This window comes from Homo sapiens, chromosome 1, assembly GCF_000001405.40.
Source record: "Homo sapiens chromosome 1, GRCh38.p14 Primary Assembly".
Classification (NCBI taxonomy): domain Eukaryota; kingdom Metazoa; phylum Chordata; class Mammalia; order Primates; family Hominidae; genus Homo; species Homo sapiens.
Genome location: NC_000001.11, coordinates 84,360,276 through 84,386,572, shown reverse-complemented (window position 1 = coordinate 84,386,572; position 26,297 = coordinate 84,360,276). Strand labels below are relative to the sequence as shown.

The following is a 26,297-nucleotide window of genomic DNA, read 5'->3' as shown; positions in this document are numbered from 1 at the left end:
CCTGTTACTGCTCCCAGTGCTGTTCACTCTGAAAACTGGCGCCCTTAATCACAGTCCCCTCTGCTACCTCTGCTGCTGCTGCTTCCACAGCCAGGCCTGGCCTCTATTGCTGGGATTAACCTCAGTGTACCACTAGCTGCTGGGAACTAAGCCAGGCCTTTGACATTCACCAGCAGCCCTACAAGGTAGAGGTGCTTCTTTCCATTTGCACAAATGGGGAAACTGAGGCTCAGAAACATTAAATTACTTGTTGCAAGCCACAAAGCTTTAAGTGGCAGGGTTGAATTTGAACTTCGTTTAATCCCAAAGCCACTACCACACAACAGTTTCTCTTTCCCCGACAGTCTTGTAGTTCTTACTGAGATCCCTTGAGTCTGCTCCTTTGGTTTTCTTATTGACCCTTTTCTTCAGCATGAGTCCCCAAATGTTGGGCCAGAGGCTTTTCAGAGGCCTCTCCAAGAGTTTTCCTTAACCTCTCACAAGAAAGAACTGAATTCAGATATCTCAACCCCCGAGGGCATGTTCAATGACCAACAATAGCCTGCCCTGCCCAGCTCTATCTCCAAGATTGGAGGCAGCCTCCCACCCCCTACTTTAAGAACAGCAGTACTTTCTGACTTTGGCTAGTATTCTTAAATTCCCCTCAGAGGGTCTGGTGATTTTTTATTCAAATAGATATTTAGGCAGCCCTTAGTACACCTGAACATCCTAAGTGTGATTTGCAGATGAGGTTCCTTCTTTGTCTCCTACCCAGACTCTCACTGCATGCTGTTTTTCATTTACTTTTATTTTTGTCACCTTCTTTCATTATCATTTTAATGTTCAATTTCTGTGCTAAATAAAATAAGGTTTTTCTGTTCTTCTGCTCCCTCCTGCCTCTTTCCTCAAACACCAGTAAAGCCCAGGGACAAATCTTATGGATTCTACCAGTGGAGATGAATGTGTTCACTAGCCAAGGCTCCAGCTTCAGACAAGGGTAGTAATGAATCAATCACTAGGCTTTTATTAAGTGTCTCTTCACTAAAAGCATAGCTCTTCCTGCAGCCAGACAGCCTTGGCTCTGCACTCCTGAAGGTAATCTGGACCCTGTCACTAATTACTGTTCTTCCCGGCAGCAAGTAGAAAAGGCAATTTTCAAATTGTTTCTATTGATCACAGGGCATTTTCTCCAGAATGTCACTCTCTATAAAAAGGGCATGCAATTATTTCCAGGTAACATAGTGAAGATATTTTATAGAAGAAAAGCAGTTCACCTACTGGCCATTCTACAATTTAGAGTCAATAGACTTGAGTGCAAATCCTGGCTCTGTCCTTTACTAGCCGTATGAACTAGGGCAAATCACTTAATATCTTTGAAACTCACCTCCTCCCTCCATAAATGGGAATATTAATTCCCATTTTACACTGGGATTATAAAGATTTTACAGTGCTATTACAAGGATTAGGTTAGTGGGGATTAAATAAAACAGTACAGTTTTGACCCAGGAGGTCCTATTAATGTATTTATTATTATTATCAAAAAAGCCCTGTACCTGTCAGTCTTCAGAACAATCTGATATATTTTCATTTGCTGCATGGGATTCTCTTTTTCCTATACAAGTTCTCATTCTTCTTCAAAAGTAGAATGTGATATTGCTTCCATATATACTCTGAATCTCATCTTTTACAATTGTATGATATAATGAAGGTTTAAGTAAATTTCACCTAACTTTTGGCTTTCATTGAGCCTTCTTCAATAAGATGCCTGTGTTTTCATTGCAGAATGATGAGGTGGAGTTTGTCCGAACTGGCTATGGGAAGGAAATGGTAAAAGTTCTCCATATTCAGTGAGATGGAAAATATCACAGCATTAAAGAGGTGGCAACTTCAGTGCAACTTACTCTAAGTTCCAAAAAAGATTACCTGCATGGAGATAATTCAGACATCATCCCTACAGACACCATCAAGAACACAGTTCATGTCTTGGCAAAGTTTAAAGAAGTATGTGTCATTCTTCTTAGATGCCGCCTATCTTGATGCAGAATTTGCCATAAAACAGCATGAAGTGTTACTTGCTTATTTCCAGTTCCCTTTGCATTTTAATCTATTTTTACATTTAAGCCATTTTTTAAAAAAATGTTCTTTTCTAGCCTAAAGGTCTCAGGATTGAAGAAAACTTTGCAGAAAAGCAAACAAACACACAAACCTCACATCTTTGTTTCCTTGGCTCTTATCTCACTGCAATCTTTTAGGCAGAGAATCTTATTGGACAAAATACATGTTATCTCTAATTAGAATCAAAGGAAAATCAAGGTCCTGAAAGAATTTCAGAATAGAATTTTACACATTTTTGTCATGCATTTCTTTGAGTCTTACCATTTAGTTTTTATTTTTTTAGAATGGTGTGCATTTATAGAAGAAAATATCATTTCACTTCTTGTTATTAATACAGAAGAATATCTTGAGTATGAGATACATTTATTTTTATTGTTGAAATCTATTTTCCAAATTTTAATGCCATTCTAACTTTCCCAACTCTATTACCACTTACTGTTCATATACAGTGGTTATTAGGACTTTTCAAGAGAGACTTAGATCTGATAGAACTGATATTTTAGCATTTCCAGCTCTGGTTTCTTTTTTCTTTTTTTTTTTGAGACAGAGTCTCGCTCTGTCACTAGGCTGGAGTGCAGTGGCGTGATCTCGGCTCACTGCAACCTCCGCCTCCTGGGTTCAAGTGATTCTCCTGTCTCAGCCTCCCAAGTAACTGGGACTACAGGCGCCTGCCACCATGCCCAGCTAATTTTTTTTTTTTTTTTGCATTTTTAGTAGAGATGGGGTTTCACCATGTTGGCCAAGATGGTCTCAATCTCCTGACCTTGTGATCCACCTGCCTCGGCGTCCCAAAGTGCTGGGATTACAGGCATGAGCCACCGTGCCCGACCCCACTTATGGTTTCTTTAAGTGTGAGTGAAGCTATGCTGGGTCACCCAGATTTCTGGGCAATTCAAGCTGATTTTTTTTTTTTTTTACTTGCCATGAAGTCTAAAAAGACAAGAAATGTAGACTGGAAAGCTTCTTTTCTCATGTTTTCTCATGAAATCCATACCCATAATTCATTAAATGAACAAACATTGCAATATAATTTCTGCAACTCCTATTTTTACCCTGAACCTTTCTCTTGCTAATCAGAATGACCCAGCAAACATAGATGGGGCTATGGAAAAAGGTACTGCATTCTTTAAAAAAATCGTTTGAAAGTAGACCTGTGCTGTGATATGGACAAGGGCCAGGTACAACAGATTCTTGTATTTCCTGTACTGTGTAGGAGTTTGCAGAAAAGTGAAGAATGGACCTGAATGTTAAAAACTACTTAAAGTCATTCATTATGGATAGAGTGATTGTATAGCTTCTTATCCAAACCAGGACACTTTTGAGCTCAAAATAGGATGCTATTCGTAATTATTCTGGGCCAACAGGTATAAAACAGAACTATACTGGGGAAGCCTGTACAAATACTTCACTTTAATTATAGGCAAAGCCATTAATAATTTCCAGACTGTGCTAAGACCATAAAATATTACCTAGGGATTAATATGGAAGCTGCATTATGGGGGTGGAGAGCTGGGATCAATAGAAGGACTGTATGCAAGGTAAGGAGTGAGGTGGCCCTTCATTAACATTTTTCCTTGGGAAAATGGGAAGCCTCATAGAGTTTAGAGTGTTGTGGTGTGCTGTGGTTGATACAAGTGATGACTGAACGCACTGTGAGAAGAATCTGAATGTTAAGTTATTTTTTGCTCATCCACTGACACATCCTCTCCTGCAAAATGGGTTTCTTTTAAAAACGAGAGTCTCACCTGGTGATGGTGATTATTAACTTCATTTGGGAGCTCTAATAAAAAAGTGAGATAAACACCTTTTTCTCTTGAGGTAGACTCTATTCTCTGCTTGTCTAGTTCTAAAAAGCAATTCATCAGGAAAGAGAACATCATGAGTAATATCAAAAGACAAAATTACAACAAGTTTAGTTATAGAGTGAATTGGTTTTTATTTACCATTGGGGCAGCTTCTGTTCTACAAAAAAGAGTAAGAGCTTCCACTGGGCATTGGGTTTTGTAAGGTGGGAACAAGAAACAGAACAATGGAAAAAAAAACTGATTGGTTAACATCGGGTTTCAGATTACTTTTTTAGTAAGAGTTAAAGCAGAGGGGACTTCCTTATCGCACTGACTCAGATAGACTGGAATCTCCTGTTTTCAGGAAAAACTGGTCTGTTTTGGTATCTATCTGCTTCCTTAAAGCTTCAATTTGATTATGTGGAATTTAGCATAAGTGACTCCATTTTGGTCTGGTCTGTTGGGGTCTAATGCAGGAGCTTAGTCCAAAGCAATGACCTCCCATCGTTTCATTTAACAGTATTTATAAATTATTTTTAAATGGGACAATTATTTCTGCTTTGAAGCATTTTGTTTCTTTTTACAAATCAAAAGCATAGAAGCCTTTGGTGTGAATATTTGTGAGCATTTTCTTTCTTCTTTTAACCATGTAATCCGAGCTCAAGTCTACATGGAAGAAATCCCTTGGAAGCATCTTGGAAAGGTTAACTCACTTATTTGTGCTCTCAGTTTAATTAAAGAAATTGGCTTTATGGCATGAACTGAAATTTTCCTGGAAATAATTTGTTTCCCTAATTTTCAGAATGGAGTTAAGCATGTCCATGCATTTATTCACACTCCCACTGGAACACACTTCTGTGAAGTTGAACAGCTGAGAAGTGGTAAGAAACTATTTTTCATGCTTTGATTATATAGTAGCAACTTCAGGGTGGCTTTGTTTTCTTTTTTCTTCATTTCTTCTAAACAATGCTGTTTACTAACATGGAGGAAAACTGTAGAGACTTTTTAAGGCTTTTAAATCTGAGATAGAAATGAATATTGTGACTTTGAATTATATTAAAGAATTATCTACTTTTTGTCTTAAAAATATAAAAATGAAATAATTCATTTTGCAACAACCCTGGGGATTGAGTCAGGCAAATCATTTTTATTACCAGATTTTGAGGTAAGGCAAAATAAAAAAAGGCCCAGCCTGAAAAGAACGCAAATCTCTGGATTTTCTGACCAATATTTTTTGTGCCACATCATGTTACAATTATAGTAACCTTCATAGGAAATATTTACTAAATAATAGTCAAGTTTTCCTGAAATTTTATTTTGTGTAATAAAACCACTAATATTGTAATTCCTATAAAATGCATCTCATTTAAGATAGCAATGGCAATTATATAATTCTATTTCCTAAGAAATTTCCAAATTAATTATGAAACATAATTATATCATAGGTGTTATTAGTACTGATAACTGAACTTAGCAAATATTAAAATTTCCACAGCTTGTATTCCACAGATTTGTTGAGCTTGTCAGAGCAGAGTTCAATAATTGGCTAAGAGTTAGGCTAGAGGACCTCTAAGAACCATGGAGACAAAGCTGGTAATAATGTCTTTATCCCAGTAAAAAAATAAACTTTACTGATTGTTATAAAATGAAAGGGTGGACTCTAAAATTTTTCTATTTTCTTTCCCTCCCCTCCTTTACTCTTCCCTTTTCTTCTTTGCTGTTGCCTTCCCTTCCCTTCCCTTCCCTTCCCTTCCTCCTTAGTAGGAATTTGAAGTGGCATCTAATGAATATCAGATTTATTATAAGGTTAATAAAATATAAGATCCCTTCTCATTCTGAGTTCTTTTGGATAATGCCCTCCTTAGAAAGTTCTAGTGTATTAGCTATTTTTAAATATTTTCCACTATGTGAATTAAAGTCTATACATAACTAGGGCCTTCTCAACGTTTGATAAACAGTTATAAAGTTAATGTTATATAAAAGAGACTAAATAGCTGTTGTATTTGGTTAAAAAGATGATCTTTATCACCCAGATGTGTAGTCATATGCTATATTAGCTTTCTGAGCTATTTGTTAAGTTAAATTGGAACTAACTTCTTTCTTTCCTTCCCTCCTTTCCTTAGCCCTTCCTTCCTTCCTTTCTGTCTCTCTGGTTCCTTCCTTCTTTCCCTCTCCTTTCTCTTCCTCCCTCCCTCCCTTCTTCCTTCTTTTCTTTCTTCCTTCCTTCTTGTCTTAGATATGTGGCTTTGGAGGAGAAAGAAAAGTTTCCTGACTCAATGTTATCCTACCCAAGCCTCATTAACTACCCTCATAAAACTAGAAACTCGAAATCAGCTCTGCCCAACTGAAATATAATGCAAGCCATATATATAATTTAAAATTTTTTTCATAACCACATTAGAAAAGCAAAAAGAAATTAGGGAAATTAATTTTAATAATATATTTTATTTAAATAACATCAAAAATATTTCAGTATGTAATAAGTATAAAAATTACTAATGAAGTATTTTACATTCTTTTTACAAAATTGTCTTTAAAATTCTGTATTTTATATGTGTAGCTTATCTCAAGTTATGCTAGCCATAATTCAAGTGCTTAATAGCCACATGTGGCTTAGTGGCTACTGTATAGATCAGCATAACTTAAAACTGCTTTTCAGTGACGTTTGGGATGCTTTTTTACATTTTTTACATTTTTCAATAATGTAAAATAACAACAGCAGCTAGGATTAGGCCTCAAGAGAGCTAATTAACAATGAGAGCATTTATGAAAAGTGCTTATGTCATTCATTCATATACTATTCATTCAACAACTAGATTTCGAGGCCCTATTATGTATGCAAAGGGCTGTAGGTAAAGAGGGGAATAAGATGCTCCCTGACCCTAGTGAGACAGATTGACTGCAGTATGAGAGGCTAGAGACTATGATGAAGGGATAAAAGGCATGCTATGGGAACTGAGAAGTGAAGAAACTCTTTCCAGAGCAGTCTGTCTGGAAGGCTTGACAAAGGAGGAAAAAATATTCCATTTGACTTTTGAAAAATGATTCAGAATATGCTGCGCATTAAAGGAGGAAAGGGAATTACACGCAGAAGAAACAGGATACATATGAGTACAGTCCATGAGGAGTGAAAGAGGGGAAGTAAAATATTTTGAGCACTTGCTTCATGCTGAAGACTATGCCGGGGAAGTAATTTATTTAACTGTGGAAAGGGCAAAGCATTTGGGGGACAGTAACAAATTCAGTGGGTCTGATTTCTAGAATGTAAGAAGGGAGATGAAGATAAATAAGTTGGTGGTTTGGGCTGGAATCTGAAGGGCCTCATGTGTTATACACAAGTTTAGTATAAGATGAAGGCAGTTTTGCACAGTGGTTAAGCAAGAGGCCTTGAGGTCAGAATGAATCATTTGAATTTGAGCTCCACTACTTAATAACTTTGTGATTAAGAGCAAGGTTACTTATACTACACTGGTGGGTTTTAATTTGTAAAACAAGGATACCAGTGCCCACTTCAACAACTATCCAGAGAAACAAAGGAGATAAATGCTAATTTATTTTATTAAGGCATTTAGCATAGTACTTAGCATAGTACTTGGCACACTAAGCTCTCCTTAACTAATAGCTATAGTTATTGTTTAGAATGACAACAGAGAACCAGAGAAAGCCTCTAATGGTCAGATTACTATGTGCATGTTTTTGTTCAGAAACTCTGAACAAGGTATGGTGACAGATTAAAGAAACAGGCAGTAGTGAGACATTTGGAGACTTGCAAAGATGAAGTGATGGGGTCTAAACTAAAGCAGTAGAAATAGAGCTGGAGAGACTGAGAGGTTGTGGGAAGCATTATGTGAGACATTTTTGAAGTGTAATCAATAGGTCTTAGTGGTTGATTAGAGATGGAAGATTGGAGAGAAAGAGGAGTTAAAATTGACCCTAATCTGGGAGGACTGGGCAACTGACTAAGGAGATTACACACAAGGGGAAGTTTTCAGGTGGGAAGCTGGTGAATGTGGGACTATGTGATGGAGATAGATTTGGGGCCCATCAGCAGATTGGTGGTAGGTGAAGCTACAGCAGATTGGTGTTAGGTAAAGCCACAGGGAAGAAGGACCATTCCAGAAAAACACACAAAGTGAGAAGAGTTTGAAAGAGGAGATGGCCTGGGAAAAATTCCCCACTGTAAGGGTTGGGCAGTTTAAAAACTGAGACAGAAGAATGTTTAGAGAGATAGAAGGAAGACGAGGGATGATAGTGTCATGGAAGCAGAAGAAAAAGACATTTCAAGAAATTAGGGATTTCTGAATTACTGGGGAACAAAGATGCATAAAAAATAGGCCCATGTGCAGTGGCTCAGCACTAGAAGTTTACTTCTTTTTGCAGAAGTCCAGTTCAGTGTCTGTGTGGGGGGCTAGGGGGGTCAGGGGGATGCTGTGCTCCATGAAGTTCTTCAGGAACCCAGGTTGATGGCAACTTTATATTTGTAATCCTTACTTTTTGGTGTCACCTTGAAAGTAGACCCTCATACCAGACAACCAAAGAAAGAGCTTAGAGGGGCAAAGTCCTTGAAGCGTAAGCTCCCGGCCTGGAAACAGCATGGATCATTTCTTCTGGAGAGAGCTCAGTCACATAGTCACACCTCACTGCAAGGGACACTGTGAAATGTCATCTAGCTGAGTGCCAGGAGGAAGAGCAAGTAGATTTAGCCTCTGCCATAGGAGAGTTAAGAAGTTGGGGTTCCGAGAGGACTGATGAGAAACTATGTAGTCAGTAAATAGGCGTCATTGGTGACTTCCCAGAATACTTTTAGCAGAGCCAGGGAGGTGGAAGTCAAGTGGCCAAGTATAGGGCTGTGCTGATCATGAAAAGAAAACGGACTTCTCTTTATATCCTGTTCTTTCCAGGAATGACCAAGAGTTGCTATCAGCTTGAATTCTAATCACCTGGCTGCAGCTGAGTGGAAAAACTAGCCACCATAATCAGGTTAAAACTTTTTCTTTCTGCAGAAAGCTGCAAAGCTTCAGGGTATTGAGATCATTGTGGCAGTGTTCCCAGAAGCTCCAGCTTGACTCATCTAGAGTCCAGCCCCCAACTCCCCCTCTGATTTCATGCAGGGCTGGCAGGGATTGGGGTAGCAGAAGAGATATCTGTTGCCTTAAGTGTATACAGGTATGTGTGTGCACATGTTTATGGGTGTGTGTATCTTTCAGTGTTGTGTATATGAAGATGACATTTCTACTCTGTCCCTCTTTGGAGAGTAGGGATGTATGCTCTTTTGGTAGCAAAGTTTAATTCTTTATTTGCTTATTATCCAAGAGCTGAAACTGTAGGAATCGTAATGTGAGAGAATGTTACAATCATTGTCATAAGAAATGCCCTTGTAAAGGCTTAACTAAAGAAAATAGTAATTATATTATACACACACCACTCACAAATTCACATGGGGAAGGCTATTGTTACAAACACCTGAGTAGTGCCTTTGGTGGGGGACCGGCTAGAATGGTAAGACTTTTGCCCCCTCAAACACATGTGCTTATTCACACGTTCAGTCACGCCACTCCCAAAAGGACTCTTCCCAGGAGGAGGTGTGACTGAGTTTCTCCCGATGGACTATATTCATTCTTACTTAGCAAATGAACAAACATTTCTAGAAATGCTGCTGAACCTCAAGCACCACTTTAACCCCTGGGAATTGCTCTAAAACTCCCATTACACTGTTTCTTCCTAGTGGATCTTTTACAGCTACATCACTAGGCTGTATTTTAGTTGTTTCAAAGCCTACTGATTCCACAGGAGAATCTGGAAGAGAGAAAGAAATTTGTTTGCCCAAAGGAATGAGGGCTGGTTTTATGTTTGTGACTTCTCAAGCCCTGAGAGGAGAACTAGGCCCTATGTGTATGAAGCAGGCTGTTGGTTTAGGTATCATATGGCATTGAATCTTCAGAACTCTTTCTATCAAGTATCAGTGAGAAACTACAAGCTTAACGGAGCTGTAAGTCATTGGTATGATTGAGTCACTAATTTGAACTAAACTGACCCCCAAACCTCTGCACTATTTGAATTATAACTCACAATTTCTTCAGCATCAAATTTCTCCCATTTGACACTAATTATGAAATTCAGCTAAAGCATAGCTAAATAGAGGAATGGAAGATGGAGAAGAGGCCTCAAATACTAGATTGTGTCTTCTGATAGTGAAAAATACTTCCTATATTTCTATTGACATGAAGGGTAGTGAGGGTAGGGGGATGGTTGTAAGGAAGGCAACTGATGAAATCCGACCTGGAGGAGAACAGATTTAAGAGGTGACAAGATGGGCAGATGGAAGAAGTGAAATGGGAGAAGTGGGAGATCCAGGACAGAGATGGCTACTGCCAAGAAGTCTGTTTATGTCGTTTTGATATCAAGACTAAAGTGCTCTTCGGTTCCTCTGTAAGAAAAGTTCTTGGCAGATTCGTGGTCTTTTAAAATGTTCTTGGTCATCACCTGGTTGTACAAAAGCCCAGTTAATTTCCTACCATCTGGATGATGTCATCTCTTTCCATCCACAGTTGCGCAGAGGGAGCTTTCGCTCTTCCTGCATGAGCTAAATGGACTCTCCAAGGCAAATATTTAATTGATCTTTACTTTTTCTGGCACTTTACAAGTTTGAGATTTTCTACTAGAATGATTTAATATGGTTTTAAAATATCTGCCTTTCAGCTATTTGTGTCCTTTTTGGAGGTGTTAAATGTGGAAGCAATTATCCTCTTATGACAAGATCTTTTTCTTGGCTCAATAAAGCTTTGTGCTTTGTGACACCTGATGCGTAGGTAAGGAATTGGGCTTATTTTCTATTAATTCGCAGTGAGTTTCTTTCCCTTAGATAGCTAAAGGGTAGGATGTATGATTCTCTGAGAGATAAGCCACAATCTGCTAAGTGTGTAGGAGGACACTAAAAGCTGGAAAAGATTATGTTCTAGCAAAGTGAAATGTGAAAAATCTTTCTTTTGCATTACTCCATAACCAAGGCAGAAAAACAAAACAAAACAAAGCTGATTAAGTGATTTCATGGGGTGTAACCTAGAAAAGGACAGTTTTTGAATTACTTCTTGTTGGTCTAAATGGGAATCTTTTTTAGAGTGTGTTAGGCATCATATTTTTAGTTGATGGGCCCATGATTTTGAAAGCCTCAGGTTCTTACCAATGTTCAGAAAGCTGGGGCACCGCCAACAGAGAAGATAAAATAAGCTCTCTGATTTCATCCAGCATGTCTAATGTGTGCCAGGGAAAAATTCTTTTAACATTCAGAGAATAGTTTTTGTTGTTGTTGTTGTTGTTTTTAATAGAATGATGAGAGCACCAGAGTAGATGGTGTGTGTTCTGCCAAAACTGTGGCAATAGTTAATTGTCTTGGGGAACATGAGACATTTTATTCTGTGTGAAACTGATGCCAAGACACATTTTAAAAATACAACTGCTGTCTCCGTTTTTAGATTCCAGTGAGAAAGCAGATCATTTCAAAGTGGCCTAGTAGGACTGACATTCGCTTAAGGTCAATAAATCTTATCCCAGGGCTGGAGATGGATAGGACGGCACATTAGAAGTAGTTTTCAGAACCCAGTAAGACTTTGTGAAACATGGGAAATATTTATAAGTTGTTGAAGTCATTGGGAAAAAGTCAATTATGGCAAAATCATCATCATCACATTTGTAGAGCACTTTCGTAGGTCAGCAATTCTACTAAGTTCTTTATGTGCATCCTCTTAGACATGTGGCAACTCTAGGAAATATGTATGATTATCGTCTCCATTTTACAGATGACAAAATCAAGGTAGAGAGGGGTTAAATAATTCCCTCAGGAGCATAGAGCTCATAAAAATGGGGGTTGAGGATGCAGGGAGAGCACTGGGATTTGAGTTCTAGGAATCTGAGTCTCAAAGCTGTAGATTCAACCACTATGCAACATTGCATCCAGGAATCCTTTTATGGTTAACACCTTTGGAGGAGCCAAAGTTTGACTGGCTTACATGGATGCCAGCAGTCAAGGCCAGATGAATAGGAAGAAAACAATGTAGATAAAGTTTGTCTTTGGTTCTTTTTCACCTTCTTTTCATTCTCCTGCAAGGGTTTCTGCTACTCATTTTAACCCCACTCCTGATTGCAAACCCATGTTTCATTTCTATAGGATTTTGTTTTCTAGAAAGGCTTACCATGGGAAGTAGATTATCATAGTACCTTACAAAGGCTTAAGGAGTCACTTCTTTAAGGGATATTTATTTGCATTTCAATAGGAAATGTTTAAGGAATACAAAGGTTTTTAGATACATAGGAGCCAACTCTAAAAATGATTATTCAATCTCTGTTTCTGACCAATGGAGATGGTATTTTTCAGGCAGGGGGCTCTATCTGAGGTCCTTAAAGCACGCTGTGAATAGAAGGTGGCAACCTTGTCTCCTGGAAAGGCCACGTATAGAACACAAATGGGGAAAGGGTCAAAGGAAGGAGGAACCATTGCATAGATGGGAAGTGATCCAAAAAGCAGGAAGAAAAGCATGGGATCTCATAATGTGGTGCTGAGTTTAAATTCCACCTGTGACAGTTTCTAGCCATGTGACTATGGGCAAATGATTAAAAGTCACCTACATTAAAATAACTGCTTTATAGAGTGTTGAGAACTAAGTAAGATAAAGACTGAAAACTGCAGCAACCAAAGTCATGTCTACAGAGAGGAGGTTCTTAGCCAAGGTTAACACCCTTCCTTTCACCCCCTGCCACACTATGTGTGAGTTGGAGGGGACCAGAAAGGGAAATGGTAAAGACTGATGGGGCTGAACTGTCTAGAAAAGAAAGATACTAAATTGTGCAATGCTTATTCCTTGACATGAATCAATCTTGCTAAACTCATTCATTCATTCATTCAACAGATACTTATTGATTGTTTCTGTAGTTCTGCTGGGTTTGAGGCTTCCACTCACTGCATGTAGCAATGCTGATTTTGTGAGATCATGACTTCATACATTTAGAATCTGATAAACCCAGCCAGCTGAAGGCTTTAAGGCATTGTTGGTATCTTTCTCTTGCTCCTTCTTCAGATGTAGCTTCCAGTAAGTACTTCGGAAAGTTAAACAAGGATCATTTCCAGTTTCACCGCATTATCCTGGGACACTCTGCACAGAATATCTTCTTTAATCAGGACATATTTAATCAGCAGATCTACCACTAACCACTGGCTATTGTTCTCTCTGATAGGAGTATACTGAAGCATGGAAAAACAGAAATACAGACTTTATTTACCTACTTTTGAAACTCCACAGCTCCTGAGTTAACTGTAGCAATAGAAACCACATAGGTGATGTAAACCATTGGATTTTTAAGAGCTTCCTTGGATTTTAATTGAGGATCATGAGTTATATTCTTGTTCTTCAACTAAGACCATGTGTGTGGTGATACCTGACATCTCTGGCCCTTGATTTTTAGACTGAACAGTCCAAGAAGCATAGATATTGGTTGGAACTAACAAAGAGACTGAAAAGAGGTGATCTTAATAATCGTGCCATGGCACTTTGCTATTAGGGTTTGCCAAGTGCTCCCGGAATGTCCCCAATCCTTGCCAGCCTGTGCAGACAAATAAAGTCATAGTGATGTTAATATTGTTCTTTTTTAGATGATGCCTGTCACCCTTCCACCTGCCCCATTACCTTATGAAAGCACAGCAGAGACAGAAGGAGAGCCATATCATTCCCTCCATTGTTTTCAACTCTCCCTTCTCTCCCCCCAGGTACCCATGAACCAAGTTCGTCCCTTCTCCTTCAGCAGAAAAAACAAAAGCCTTTATAGATATCAACTTAGGCAGATCTATCCCTTGTGAGTCACCAACTCCATCTTCCCTGTCTTATTTAGGCTCAGCCAGGCCCACGCTGCTACCCATTTATGAAGTTGCCTGGTTTTGCTGAGCTGATAACCGTAAGGGAACTGGGATGCTGGGATGCCATCAGGGCTTACTGGAGATTGGGATCATCAGCTACTGTAGATGATCAGCATGAGGACTACCCCCAGTAAAGGGGTCACAGTAGCAGGTAGAGGAATGGCTCTTAAGGGCCGTATTAACACATTTCAGCATGATCACCTGTTGGAGGAGATGGAGCTCAAAATACATAAGGTGAGTTGGCCAAGAAGACACTCCCGCTTGTAGTTGAGAGGAATGTATTCATTTCTGTGGCCTTCAATACGGAATGGAGGTTATTCTTAGACCTTCAGATTTTCGAGGGCAAGACAGGGCAGGGAGTCTTGGAATCCAGATGGAAGCAAAGGCACACCATCCTCTTCACTTGGACTTCAGAGGAAATAGGATGACAGAAAACACGGGCGGTGATGTAGTTTTTGTACAGAATGTGTCATGTTTTAATGACCAGGATCCTCTGTGCTAGGTATCAGCAACAAGACACTGTTTATGACCTCAGCCACTCTTGACTTTCTACTTGAAACAGGACCCCAAGTCATTCATTCTGGAATCAAAGACCTCAAGGTCTTGAAAACAACACAGTCTGGATTTGAAGGTTTCATCAAGGACCAGTTCACTACCCTCCCTGAGGTGAAGGACTGATGCTTTGCCACCCAAGTGTACTGCAAGTGGCGCTACCACCAGTGCAGGGATGTGGACTTCAAGGCTACCTGGTATGAACACGTGCATGTAGTGTCTACTCTTGTCCCAGGGGCCCAGACTTCATAGAATCTTAGATGTAAAAGAGAAACTTAGAGGCCATTCAACTCAACTTCCCACTATTCAGAAATCCCTTCTGTTTATTCAATTTATTAAATTGGTGGTTCTCAAACATGCATGTGCATCAGAATCACACAGAACCAGAAAATGAAGCTTGCTGGGCCCATCCCCAGAGATTCTGATTCTGTAGGACTGAGGTGGGGCCCAAGAACATGCATTTCTTGCAAACTCCCAGGGGATGCAGATGATGCCACTGGACCAGGGACCACAGTTGAAGAAACACGGCATCAAATGAAGAGAATATCTGGCCTTACTACCTCATAGTGATGCAGAGAGGGCTAAACGAGGGTGACCAACTTGTTGTAGTTTGTCACGGACTTCCTGGTTTTAACACTGAAAGTCCCATGTCTCAGGAAACCTCTTGGTTCCAGGCAAACTGGGATAATTGGTCAATCTAGGCTAAACTCAAAATGATATGATGTTCACAAAAGCATTTTATAAGTTATAAATGCCTTAAAAATATTGTTAACTGAAATAACAGAGAGAGATTCTACAAAGATAATGAATTTATTTAGGAAAACACGGAATCTGCAAATTTGTGGGCTGCAGGAACCATAGGCATATCCTAAGAGGTTGAAGCAAGGGGAAGCTTTTAAAAGCAAAAGGAAAAAGTGTATGTAATTTGTTTTCAGACAAAGAGAACACTGGTTATAGTGGCTATCGCAGGAATTGACGCCAGCTCATTAGTGAAGACTGTGGCAGGCAAATGTTCTTGTACATCTGGCTAGCTGTCCTTGTGACTCACGTCACGAGCCACTGTTTGAAAAGTCCTTTGCAAAATTGTTGTTACAGGCATATGTACATAAGAGCCCTTCAGAGAGTCTTTGCAATAGTTCTTACAGGCATCTGTGCCTGAGGGCCCTCCCTCAGCTTCCTGGCTTTATTTATTTATTTCATTAGCATCTGACACAAGTGACTCCATTTTGATTCTGACAACTCACAATATAAAGGTATGATTATTGTTATATCCTGACAGGGAGTAATTAGGCCTCTGAACTTTCAGAACTTGCTTTTTGATTAGGTATCTCATTCCTTTGCTAAAGCTCTTTTAGAAATTTCTACCCTACCATAAGCTAGAATCTGCATGCATACCCTTCCCCCACCACCCACTCCCACAGCTGTCCCTCCCACTAGTGTAGTTTTTCTCTGCTTCTTTTATTATGTGATAGGTTTTTAAATGCATGATGAGAACGTTACCTCAGTCTTCTTTCCCTTTTATTTCAAGTGCTCTCCATGGGCAGCAGCCTGATGTATTTATGTTGAAAAGAGCTTGAAATTGAACATGCCAGAGGCAGGATAGTACTGTAGGCTGGGCCTCCTTCTAAAGAGAGGGACTTAGAGCATATCATGTAACTTTTAAGCTCAGGTTCTTCTTCTCTAATTGGGGATAATAATAGTACCTACTTCAGCTATATTGAGAGAATTCAATGACATCATCACATAAAATGCTTAGCACAGAAAAATCTGTCTAACCTAAAAAACACAGAGTCTGGCACAGAGCAAACCCCCAAATGTAACAATTCAATGAGCCAGCCAAGCAGAGCAGCAAGATGGTGAGAATACTTGGGAGTCTTCTTCTTAGGTTCTTCAAACATGACGGGAAATTTACCCTAAAATGCCCACTGGGCCCTGGTGCCAAACTATGAAGACAGTCTAGTGATGCTCAATATGTTTGTTGAATGGTGTATGTGTGTGTGTGTGTGTGTGTGTGTGTGTGTGTGTGTGTGTGTGTGTGTGTAGGGGAATGGGAAGTGAGGTGTTTTGTTTTTGGCATTGCAAGATACTAATATCTTCTAAAAACATCAATAACATTGTTTTCTGGGGGACAGACAGGTCACTGCTTCTTAGCTTCCTAACACATTACTAAAATTCCTTTCAGTATCCTCAGTGACCTTCTTTGTGTTTTAGGGACACCATTCGGGACCTTGTCATGGAGAAATCTGCTGGGCCCTATGACAAAGGTGAATACTTGACCTCTGTGCAGAAGACCCTCTGTGATATCCAGGTGCTCTCCCTGAGCCGAGTTCCTGCGGTAAGTTCTGTCAGTTGCCATTCTGAGGACTGGGAGAACGTGTGTCTTCTGTCAGCTCTGAGAAAGAGTTGAGAGTTAAAATAAGAAAGTGGAAGACACATGAAAAATGACATCTGTTGTTGTTCAAAAGCTTGTTATAGCAAGTGAAAAGAGAGCAAAAATGGAAAAATCTGTCTAACCTGAAAACACAGGCCCCTGTTGTAGTCCTTGAGTTTTGTTGAAAATTCTTTGAGTCCCTTCAACCTGCCACTGATTTAAGCCTCATAGTCAGGACACTTGAATGCCTTGAGGGAGAGGGGTAATTAGACAAAGGTTCTGTGTTTCAGAAGAACCAGACAATGAAAGATAGATGTAGAGAGATTTCATCCATCCATCCATCCATCCATCTGTCCATCTACCCACGTCCCCACCCATTCATTCATTCATTCATTCATTGAATGGTGATTATGTCTCTGGCAGCATACGAAGGATACAAAGATAAATTAGATAGTCACTACCCTCAAAGAGCTCATCATTCAGTGAATGAACAAAATAAGTAAATGAACAATACAATAGAGAAAAGAGTATTATGAAAGTACAGAGCAAAGCACCTAACTCAGGTAAAGGAGATGGGTTCCGCCAGGTTTTCTAGAGGGAAGGGTGTTTGAGTCTAGAGGTTATCTGAGTTTACTCTCAAGGGTGAGGGAGCAGGGTAGGTATGGAGACAAGAGATAGCATGATACAGTCGTTTACTGTTGAGGGTCTACCACGTGTGACTGAATATATATGAATGAATTATAGTCATTCCATGTGCCTGGAAATGAGGCAGGAACCACAGGAGCCAGTCAAGAGGGCCTTTTTAGGCTTATTTATAGAGTCTGTACCTTATCCTGAAGGCTTCTGGGAGCCACCAAGGGGTTTAAGCTGGATGTTTTGTTTCAGATTTGTACTCTAGAAAAAACACGCTGACAGAAATGTGATGAATGAAAAGGTTGATGGACCATAGGCAAGGAGACATGTTGGGATCTATTTCAGAATCTTGTAAAGAGAGTCTGGGCCATGGTGGGGCTGGAGAGGAGGAGTATCACTCTTAGACCTGGACAAGAGGGACTCTGGCCATGGCTCAGCATTCTACAGGCCCCCTTCAGGCCTTCCTCTGGCTGTGCCTCCCTCCACTAGGTGAAGAATCAGTGGGGCCACAGCAACATACTCTGCAGAGGCCCATGCATTCCCCAGAATTTCCTGTCCAAATAGCCCTGAGACTACTTCGGGAACGTGGGCAAATCTCTTCTCGAGATCTGTCTTCCAGAGGGCGAATCATGCTATTGGTGTTCACCCTTAGGCCTGAGAGTAGGCAAAGGGGCAGATGTTTGCAGGAGGTATGGATGGCACTTGACATGCAAGCTGGAGTGTCTACCCCTGTGAGTCCAAGAGAGAAGGTGGGATGGGCCAGGGGCGAGGGGCTGGCTCTTCCCATGCTGCCATGCCCTGGCATGGTACTCCATGCCAGGCAATGAGGAGAAAAAAAGATTCTATTTTCACTTTCTTCCATCATTCCTACCTTTTGATTAACTAGTCAATTCAGTGGCATAAAATACACACAGGAAAACATGAAAGAGTATTTATGTTTCTAATTGCAATCACAGTTAGAGAATTTTAAATTAATGCTTGGCCTTCCAGGTTGTTATGAAGGGTATATTTGTCAAGTTAGAAGAGTAGAACATATTTCACTTAAAAAAATTTTGGCTTGATTAATAGAACTTTAAAGTTTTTATACCTTTGGTATGTGGGTCTCCAATTATACTCTTACTGCAGGGCCTATAAATGTTAGATACAGGCCTGGAAAGGAAGGAGTGGAATGAGGAGGAATTTAGAAGGTTGACTGACCAGTACCTGGAGGCCAGTTGGATGTTGAAGAGGTCTCCCAGGTTTCTGACCCGAGGAGCCCTTTCTTTTCAGAGAAACAGATTTTGTACACTGAGGGGAGAAGAGCAGACCCACCATCTAATCACAGAACTAGCAGGAGAGAACAGTGTCGGGCAGTGGAGGAACATCAGAGGGTGTCTCCAAGTCAGAGAGAGAACCTGAGTAATGGGTGCGAGGTTAGGGGAGGTGAGGGTAGCTGGAGTGACGGAGATGGAGGCTCGCAGCTCCTAATGTGATGCATACCACTGTGGTTTCCAGATAGAAGATATGGAAATCAGCCTGCCAAACATTCACTACTTCAACATAGACATGTCCAAAATGGGTCTGATCAACAAGGAAGAGGTAAGAGGTAAGAGAACTTTAAATATATTTAAAGCACATCTCTGTCCCACCCCCTTTTGCCCCTTTATGAGCCTGGGATGATAATGTCACTGAATAAAACTCTTAAGCAACTGTTGCTTTGGGGAATATTTATAGTTGCCAGTGATTACAGCCCTCTTCAATTCTGGGCCTTTCAATGCCTGAGGTTGGAGTGCCTTCGAAGTGGATGAGTGATTATAGAAGGTTGGAAGTCCAAGAGAGAAAGACAGAGAAGGAACAGAGTGTGCCCAAGGAAACAGCTTTGAGATCTGCTTCTCTGAAAGTGCCATGCAAGGACACAGCTTCATTATTCTTCCATCATGAGGCAATGAGGAGAAAAAAAGATTCTATTTTCACTTTCTTCCATCATTCCTACCTTTTGATTAACTAGTCAATTCAGTGGCATAAAATACACACAGGAAAACATGGAAGAGTATTTATGTTTCTAATTGCAATTACAGAGGTAAGATGTGGAAATTAATTTTTTGAAAACAACCCTTTGTCTTGGAGAAACACTTCTCCTGTTTTTTTGTTTTTTTGTTTTTTTTTTTTAAGCCATGGCAGAATGTTAAACCACTCAGTGTGTCTGACTAGACAGCCTGAAGTACTGACTGGTGGGTTGGTGTGGTCAGTTCTTGGGAGATCAGAACCATTCTTCCCTCTTGGACCACATTCAAAATAAGATTTCTCAATTTGCTCCAGCTCCCCACACATTCCTATTAACTAGAAAACATTGTTTCGAGTAACTTCTTTTAGTATGTGTTGGGGAGTAAGATAGGGAAGGAGCCATCTATTAGCATGGCTCTGCTCCCATAGACTCATATCCTTTGGCGGATAAGGGATAATGAAGGGGTTAAAGGTCCCACATTCTGCACCTGATGGCCCAGAAGCCTCACAATCCTTCGGGCCAGGTACCTCCTTTCTGTTTTGCAAGTAATGTGAGTGGCCTCTAGCAGGCTTTGACCACCATCAGCTGCAGGTGGAGGCTCGGGAGTCGCATCTGGAAACAAAGGTCATGCTTAGGTGCCTGGCAAAGGTGATCTAGATTCTGAAAACCTCCAGGGATTCAGTTCCAGTTCTCTGGGAAGCAGAGCTGCCCTTACCTTGGTCCCACATGCTGTACATCCAGCCACAAGGAGAGGCAGCAGTATTTACTTTAGAGGAAGGAAAGGACATGGCTACCAGAATGCCATTAATTAGAATCTGAAGCCTTTTTAAAGCCTTCTAACGGGCAGGAGAGCGACCTGAAAGTAATCCTGGCCAAGTCCACCAGAGGCAAAACAAATGGACCCTACATAGAAAAAAGGATCAGGTGTCATGGCTCAAGCAGTGCTTAGCTCAGGACCCCAGGCAGAGAGAGGAGGGCTCCTGAGGGCCCCCGACACCTCAGGTCTGCACTAATCCCAGCATGCTGGGGGGCTGCGCCCACAGGGTTCTTCCCTCTAGGAAGTCAGACTTGCAGCTCCCTCATGGAGCCCAGCTGGGGACTTGGAGTCAGGAAGGCCTAAGTTCCTTTGGGTCAGGGCTCTACATAAAGGCACCTGAGTGGCTGAACAAGCTGTCCTTGCGTCTGTACTTTGAGGATGTCTGGAGCCACTCTTGGACTCTCACCCAGCAGATGTGTACAAAGTGAACATAACACATGAGAAACAGGAAGTTGGACACATTAACACTAGCAGAGAAGTGACAAATGACAGGGTGGGAGGGTGGAAGAACTCTAAAAGCACCGCTATCTGGAGCCATTTAGAATTGAGTGAACAGCCCTGCAGACCTCAGACACTTCTGAGGCCATGGTGATCTTACAGCATTGGACAATGACTCATGGATGAGGTGAGTCACCAAGGAAAGGTCAATTGTGTTCAATACACTGCATTTACAAAGCAGGGATATGGAATGCATCTTAGAAACATTTATATCTCAATGATTAACATTTTTCAAAAGCTTTTAAATTTTCTAGGAAATTGACTCATCTCTCAACTATTGCCAGAATAATAAGGCATTACCATGCTTGAAGTAACTTTAGTGGAGGACATACACATTTTCCTGTTTAGTAAGTTGTTGTTTTTGTTTTTAATATTGAGTCATAGAAAGGAGGAGAGGGCTATTTTAATGTCCTTTAAATTACCATGTGGTTTTTCTACAGGTCTTGCTGCCATTAGACAATCCATATGGAAAAATTACTGGTACAGTCAAGAGGAAGTTGTCTTCAAGACTGTGACATTGTGGCCACCAATAGGAGTCCACTCTCAGCTGAGGAATTCCTTAAGTCATTTGTGATGCTGGAGATGATAGCATGTAGCCATGCAAAATTTCACACTAGTATATTGATTTATAGTGTTCACTTTCCTCCAATATGAAACAGTTTATTTCTTCTACACCTAGCTCAGCAAGGCATTCTGTGGATTACCTTATTAGTAATTATAACAGGCTTTATGGCTATAATTTACTTTAAAAATGCTGAGCAGTATTAGAACAGTTATAAATCAATATTTCTTTTTGGTTATCTTATGCCTTCCTATCTTGGAGAAGCTTTAGAATCAATTCATTAAGAAAATAATCATGAATTAATGAGTGTGTCACATCAATTAATTTGTGCACAGGTTTAAGAAACAAATATTGTTTTCATCCTACTGATGCTTCTAAGTAATGCAGAAAATGAAATAAAATTATATTGAAAAATATCACCATTGTTACTTCATTTGACTGAATATTTGATTTTAAGAATGCTCTAGCATATGTATCATTGATTATTTATTTCCACTCTGATAGTACTTCTGTGATCTTAATGTTTGATTTTAAACTTTTTCAATCCTTAGAGAATATTTAGTACATATGAGGGTACTGAAAAAGAGTAGAAATTTTCTTTGAATAATGCATCCCTTATGTGCACAAAACGTCACATTTAATAAATGTTAAGCCAATATACAGATGGGTGGATGTACATTTAGAAAGAAGACTAGAGAGTATAGATGTGAAAATATCAGCAATGACAATTTCTGGATGATGAGATTATGAGTGATTTTCATTTTTCACCATGTACTTTTCTGAATCTTCCAAATATGAACAATTATTCCTTTTATAGCCAGAGAAACAAATATAGTTGATGATTTAAAGATGTTTACAGATTTGAGGGCTGATTATATCAATTGACTAACACTACCATTGTATACATGTAATAAAGCTTCACAAATTACAGCTTTAGAAACCCATGATGAAAACTTGTCCACGTTAACATTCTGGGTAACCTTTTCCATTTTAAAAAATCTTCATTTAAAAAATAAAATCAAATCTCCATTTTTAAGAATTGCTTTCATATGAGCCCTTAGTATTATTTGTTAATACGGCTTCATTCACCTTTATGATACTGCTACTTAAGGTTGCATGGTATAGTGGTTAATTGCACACTCATTTAAATCCTGGCTCCACCTCTCAGTAAATATAAGACAAGTTTCTTCATCTGTAAAATGGAGGTGAAAAGAGAACCTACCTTATAGGTCTTTTGAGGATTAAATGGGTTAATGCTTGTAAAGTGCTATGGTAGTATTTGGCCTGACACAGAAATTTCAATATACGTGTGTGTTGAATGTAATAAATGTCCTGTCTTCTTTTCGTTTGTTATTAGGCCCACATAGAAAAGCTGTCATTGGCCTCCGGGTCAGGCAAGAGATGGGAGGTGTTCAGAGCAGCAAACCCTACAAGATGTTGGAGGCCATTCACAAGCAAGCGCCTGCTTGGAAAATAACGTGGGATAAGAACAATGAAATAATTTGATGAGGAAAGTGTTGTGCTACATTGAATACTCACGTCACAAAATGTGCTTCTACATTATGTAACTTACATGGTCAAATGACTGGTACATTTTATTCCTGTGCTAATTTGTCAATTCTGTTCCAAGAGGAAAGAGTCTAACATGACTTTTCAAAAACAAAACAAGACAAAACAAAACAAAAACCCCGACTTAATTAGGCCTTTCTTACTTGATGTTCTCTTATTCTTGTAAGTTTTAGAAACACTGTATTTGCTTCAGAGAAGAAACCCATGTTAGAGCAGAATCCTTAGAAATTGTGGCCCATTTATACATATGTGCATTTTGCTTCTCCTTAGCTCTTAGCACATTTACTGCAATAGATTGCAAATGAGCTATTGGATGTTATATCCCAGGTATGTGGCAGGAAAGCCTGTAGTATGTGAAATTTTCAAGGACAAAGTTCCTGTTTTGTGAAGGATGTTTCCTTCTTAGAATTGTGAACGATGGGGCTGAAAACCAGCTTTGGGTTTCACCTGTTCCTTTCAGTTCGGCAGACAGGCAGGCAGAACTGAACTGTAAACACTTGTGAGGCAATTTGTTTTAAAAACACTTCATGATTTTGCTAGGAAGCCTCCAGGGATTCAGTTCCAGTTCTCTGGGAAGCAGAGCTGCCCTTACAACACTCTTCTGTCTCCTCACTCACTCTCTCTGCTTACCCCAACCCTATCTCAAGTACTTTCATGGAGGAATCGTGCAAGTAGTTCCAAGCCCACGTGCTGCCGGGGAGGCAGTTTCCATGGCATTCAATGGAGCAGGCTGTCATGTGGGGCTTGTGGTTTTGGTAGCCAAGATTCTGCCTGAGGTTTGTTTCATATTCTTTAAATTTCATCTCATAATTTTCATAGTGATAGACTCAGAAAATATATCTCCTTCCTTTTCCTTTTCCTTTTTAGAGTCAGACTTAAGTTCATACCATTCCTTATTTTTAGACACCAATGTTTTCCCTTTCTTTTTTCTACCCCAATATAGAAGCGTAATAAGTCTTTTGAGGCAGCATTTTATTGATTTGTCATTGTAACAGAATTTACCTTCTTCAATACCGGCAGATTTTAACTAGAGAAATTTGAAATTTTCCTAACCTCTTTATACTTTGTCCAGAAGGAGCGTTTCCTTTCCTCCGGACTCTGAGCTGTGTGGAGTTGGCCCTTTGCAGTCGCCTTTGCTAGACCTTTACGAGTTCTGCTTTCTTGTCTGAACTCATGAGGAAGGCAAAGCTTCTTTCCCAAAGAGATTGACTTGAAGCCTTCTAACCAGACACACACAGGACCTTCCGGCTTCCGCATACTTGAAACTTATTCTCTGTATGTTTCACAGTCTTAGCACTTGTTTCTCTTAGAGCTTAGCTACCTGTCATTCTTCCATTTGCCCAGGCTCCCTCTCAGAAATTCTTAGTTTTGTGGAGCCTATCAAGACCCTATTGAGAATATGATGGCTATGGACCTTCTTCCCAGAAAAATGCTCATTCATGTCTCTACAGGTGCCTCTACCTCTGCTAAGGAAGTAGTTCACACATTATCTTTAAAGTATAAAGGATTCCAACAGAAATTTGCCACATGAGGAATATATTCAATCAAACTTAGAAAGTATACTGCTCACCTTTACATAAGAAAGAAATAAACGTAGTATTAGTTTCCTGAGGCTGCCATAACAAATTACCATAAACTTGGTGGTGTAAAACAATAGAGATTTATTCCCTCATAGTTCTGGAGGCCAGAGTCCAAAATCAAGGTGTGGGCCGGGTGCTACTTCCAAAGACTCCAGGGGAGATTCTGTTTCTGCCTCTTCCAGCCTCTCATGCCTTCAGGGGTTCCTTGACTCACAGCTGCATCACTCTAGTCTCTGCCTCCATGGCCGCATTGCTTCCTCCTTTTTCTGTCTGGCAGGTTTTCCCTGTATGACTCTTATAAGGACACTGGTCACTAGATTTGGGGCCCACCTGGATAACCTTAAGACAAGATCCTCAAGATCCTTAATGACATCTGCAAAGATCTTTTTTCCACGTAAGGTCACATTTGCAGGTTCTGACAGTGAAGGCATGGTCTCTGTTTTGAGACCCATTCAACCCAATACACAAAGTAAGAGGTCAGTGAGCTGTTTAAGGGCAGCTCTTCTGGTGTATGTGGATCTTAGCTATACATAAGCTCCTCTTCCCTTCAGATCTGGGGGATGGTGCCATACCCCTCCTGGTTTGATCACTTGTCACATAGATTTTTATAAAAGGGTAAAGAGCACGGACTTTGGATGCAGATAGTACTAAGGTTTAGACTGGGCTCCACCAATTTCTAGTTGTGTGATCTCGAGCAAGTAATCTCTAAGCTTAAGCTCTCTTGTTTATGAAATGGGAATAATAATAACCCCTACCTCACAGCACAGGGTAGTGAAGCATTAACTGAGATTAGAGCTAGAATGCCTTTGGCTGCAAGTAACTGAATACCTAAGAGTGTCTTAAACAGAAAGGACATCATGCTTGCTTCAGAAGTTTAAGAAGTAGGCTATCCCAGGATGGGATGGCTAATTCAGTCATGGCATCAGGACTCAGGCTCATTCCACCCTTTGCCCTGCTATCCTCAGTATATGGTAATGTTTTCTCTATGGCCACAAAATGGGGGATAAAGCTCCTGTTAAAGATGCTCTGGTGCCTTCTGCATGACAATCTCAGGGTCTTACTGTATTTTTCATGGGGATGCTGACCTGTGATACTAAGAGTTCCAGGAAGGAGACTCGAAAATGGGATTTTGGAGCTGGATCACCCGCTGGCTCACTAGCAATGAGCCTTTGTAATACTGTAATCACACAATTGTTAAAACCGTCTGCAGAGGTGAATTGGGATAAGATACTGGAGAAAGGAATACATTGGCAGGGGCAAAATCTCAAATGCTTGAGAGGTGTGGGGGAAACGGTTATTATAAGCACTATGGAATTTGAATGGGTGTCACTGGGGACCATTAGTAAAGAAAGGCAATGAAAAATTGAGGATGATTAATAACTAATATAAAGTGAGCATGAAAGCAAGAGGGCCTCCTTGGCAACATATAAAGACAGTATACATCTAGATGGCAGAAAAAGCTTAGGAGACCCAGGTCTTAATTATTAGAATAGCAGAGCTCCAAGGAAAATTGAATTCTCCACCCTTGACAGGTCTGTCACACTAAGGTCAGGGTCCAGATTGATGCACTTGAAATCTTGAATCCTCAGCTTTACCTGAATTCTCTGTGCCTGCAGAACTGGCCTATTTCTCCTTGTTAAAAGCTAGCACTGCCCCTCTTGCTTGAAGACAATGCAGAAGCTTCTGCCTACAAGGAAACACATGCCTCCTTGTGATATATCCCCACCTCCTGACCACCAGATCTATAAATAGGGTAAGTCACATCGTACACCAGCTAGACATATGCTGGGCTTGTTAAGGAAAGAAGGAGACCACAGGCCAAAAGAGTGGCAAAGGCCCAGCTAATATATATAAAAGCTGGAAGATTATACATGGGTGCTGGATAAAGCCCATCTAATTTTCAAATCAAGAAGCAAGAAGAGAAGCAGTTTCCATTCACATGGATGGAC

General features: G+C 40.2%; 1 pseudogene across 1 annotated transcript, besides 1 other annotated feature; it reads left to right on the top strand.

Annotated features, from left to right (window-relative positions):
• Positions 1-1,771: 1,771 nt before the first annotated feature.
• Positions 1,772-21,615, top strand: UOX (urate oxidase (pseudogene); annotated as a pseudogene). The gene is made up of 7 exons (NR_003927.2): positions 1,772-1,980; positions 4,681-4,759; positions 14,345-14,531; positions 16,546-16,669; positions 18,833-18,923; positions 20,892-20,984; positions 21,078-21,615. The product of NR_003927.2 is annotated as a urate oxidase (pseudogene) (transcript).
• Positions 20,215-21,414: an enhancer, noted in NCBI's record as "P300/CBP strongly-dependent group 1 enhancer chr1:84830842-84832041 (GRCh37/hg19 assembly coordinates)". NCBI's record gives its function as "activates an origin of replication core promoter dependent on BRD2, BRD4, P300/CBP, MED14 and CDK7 cofactors, with strong dependence on P300/CBP, by STARR-seq in HCT116 cells {active_cell/tissue: HCT116}" and the evidence as "EXISTENCE:reporter gene assay evidence [ECO:0000049][PMID:35650434]".
• Positions 21,616-26,297: the final 4,682 nt, after the last annotated feature.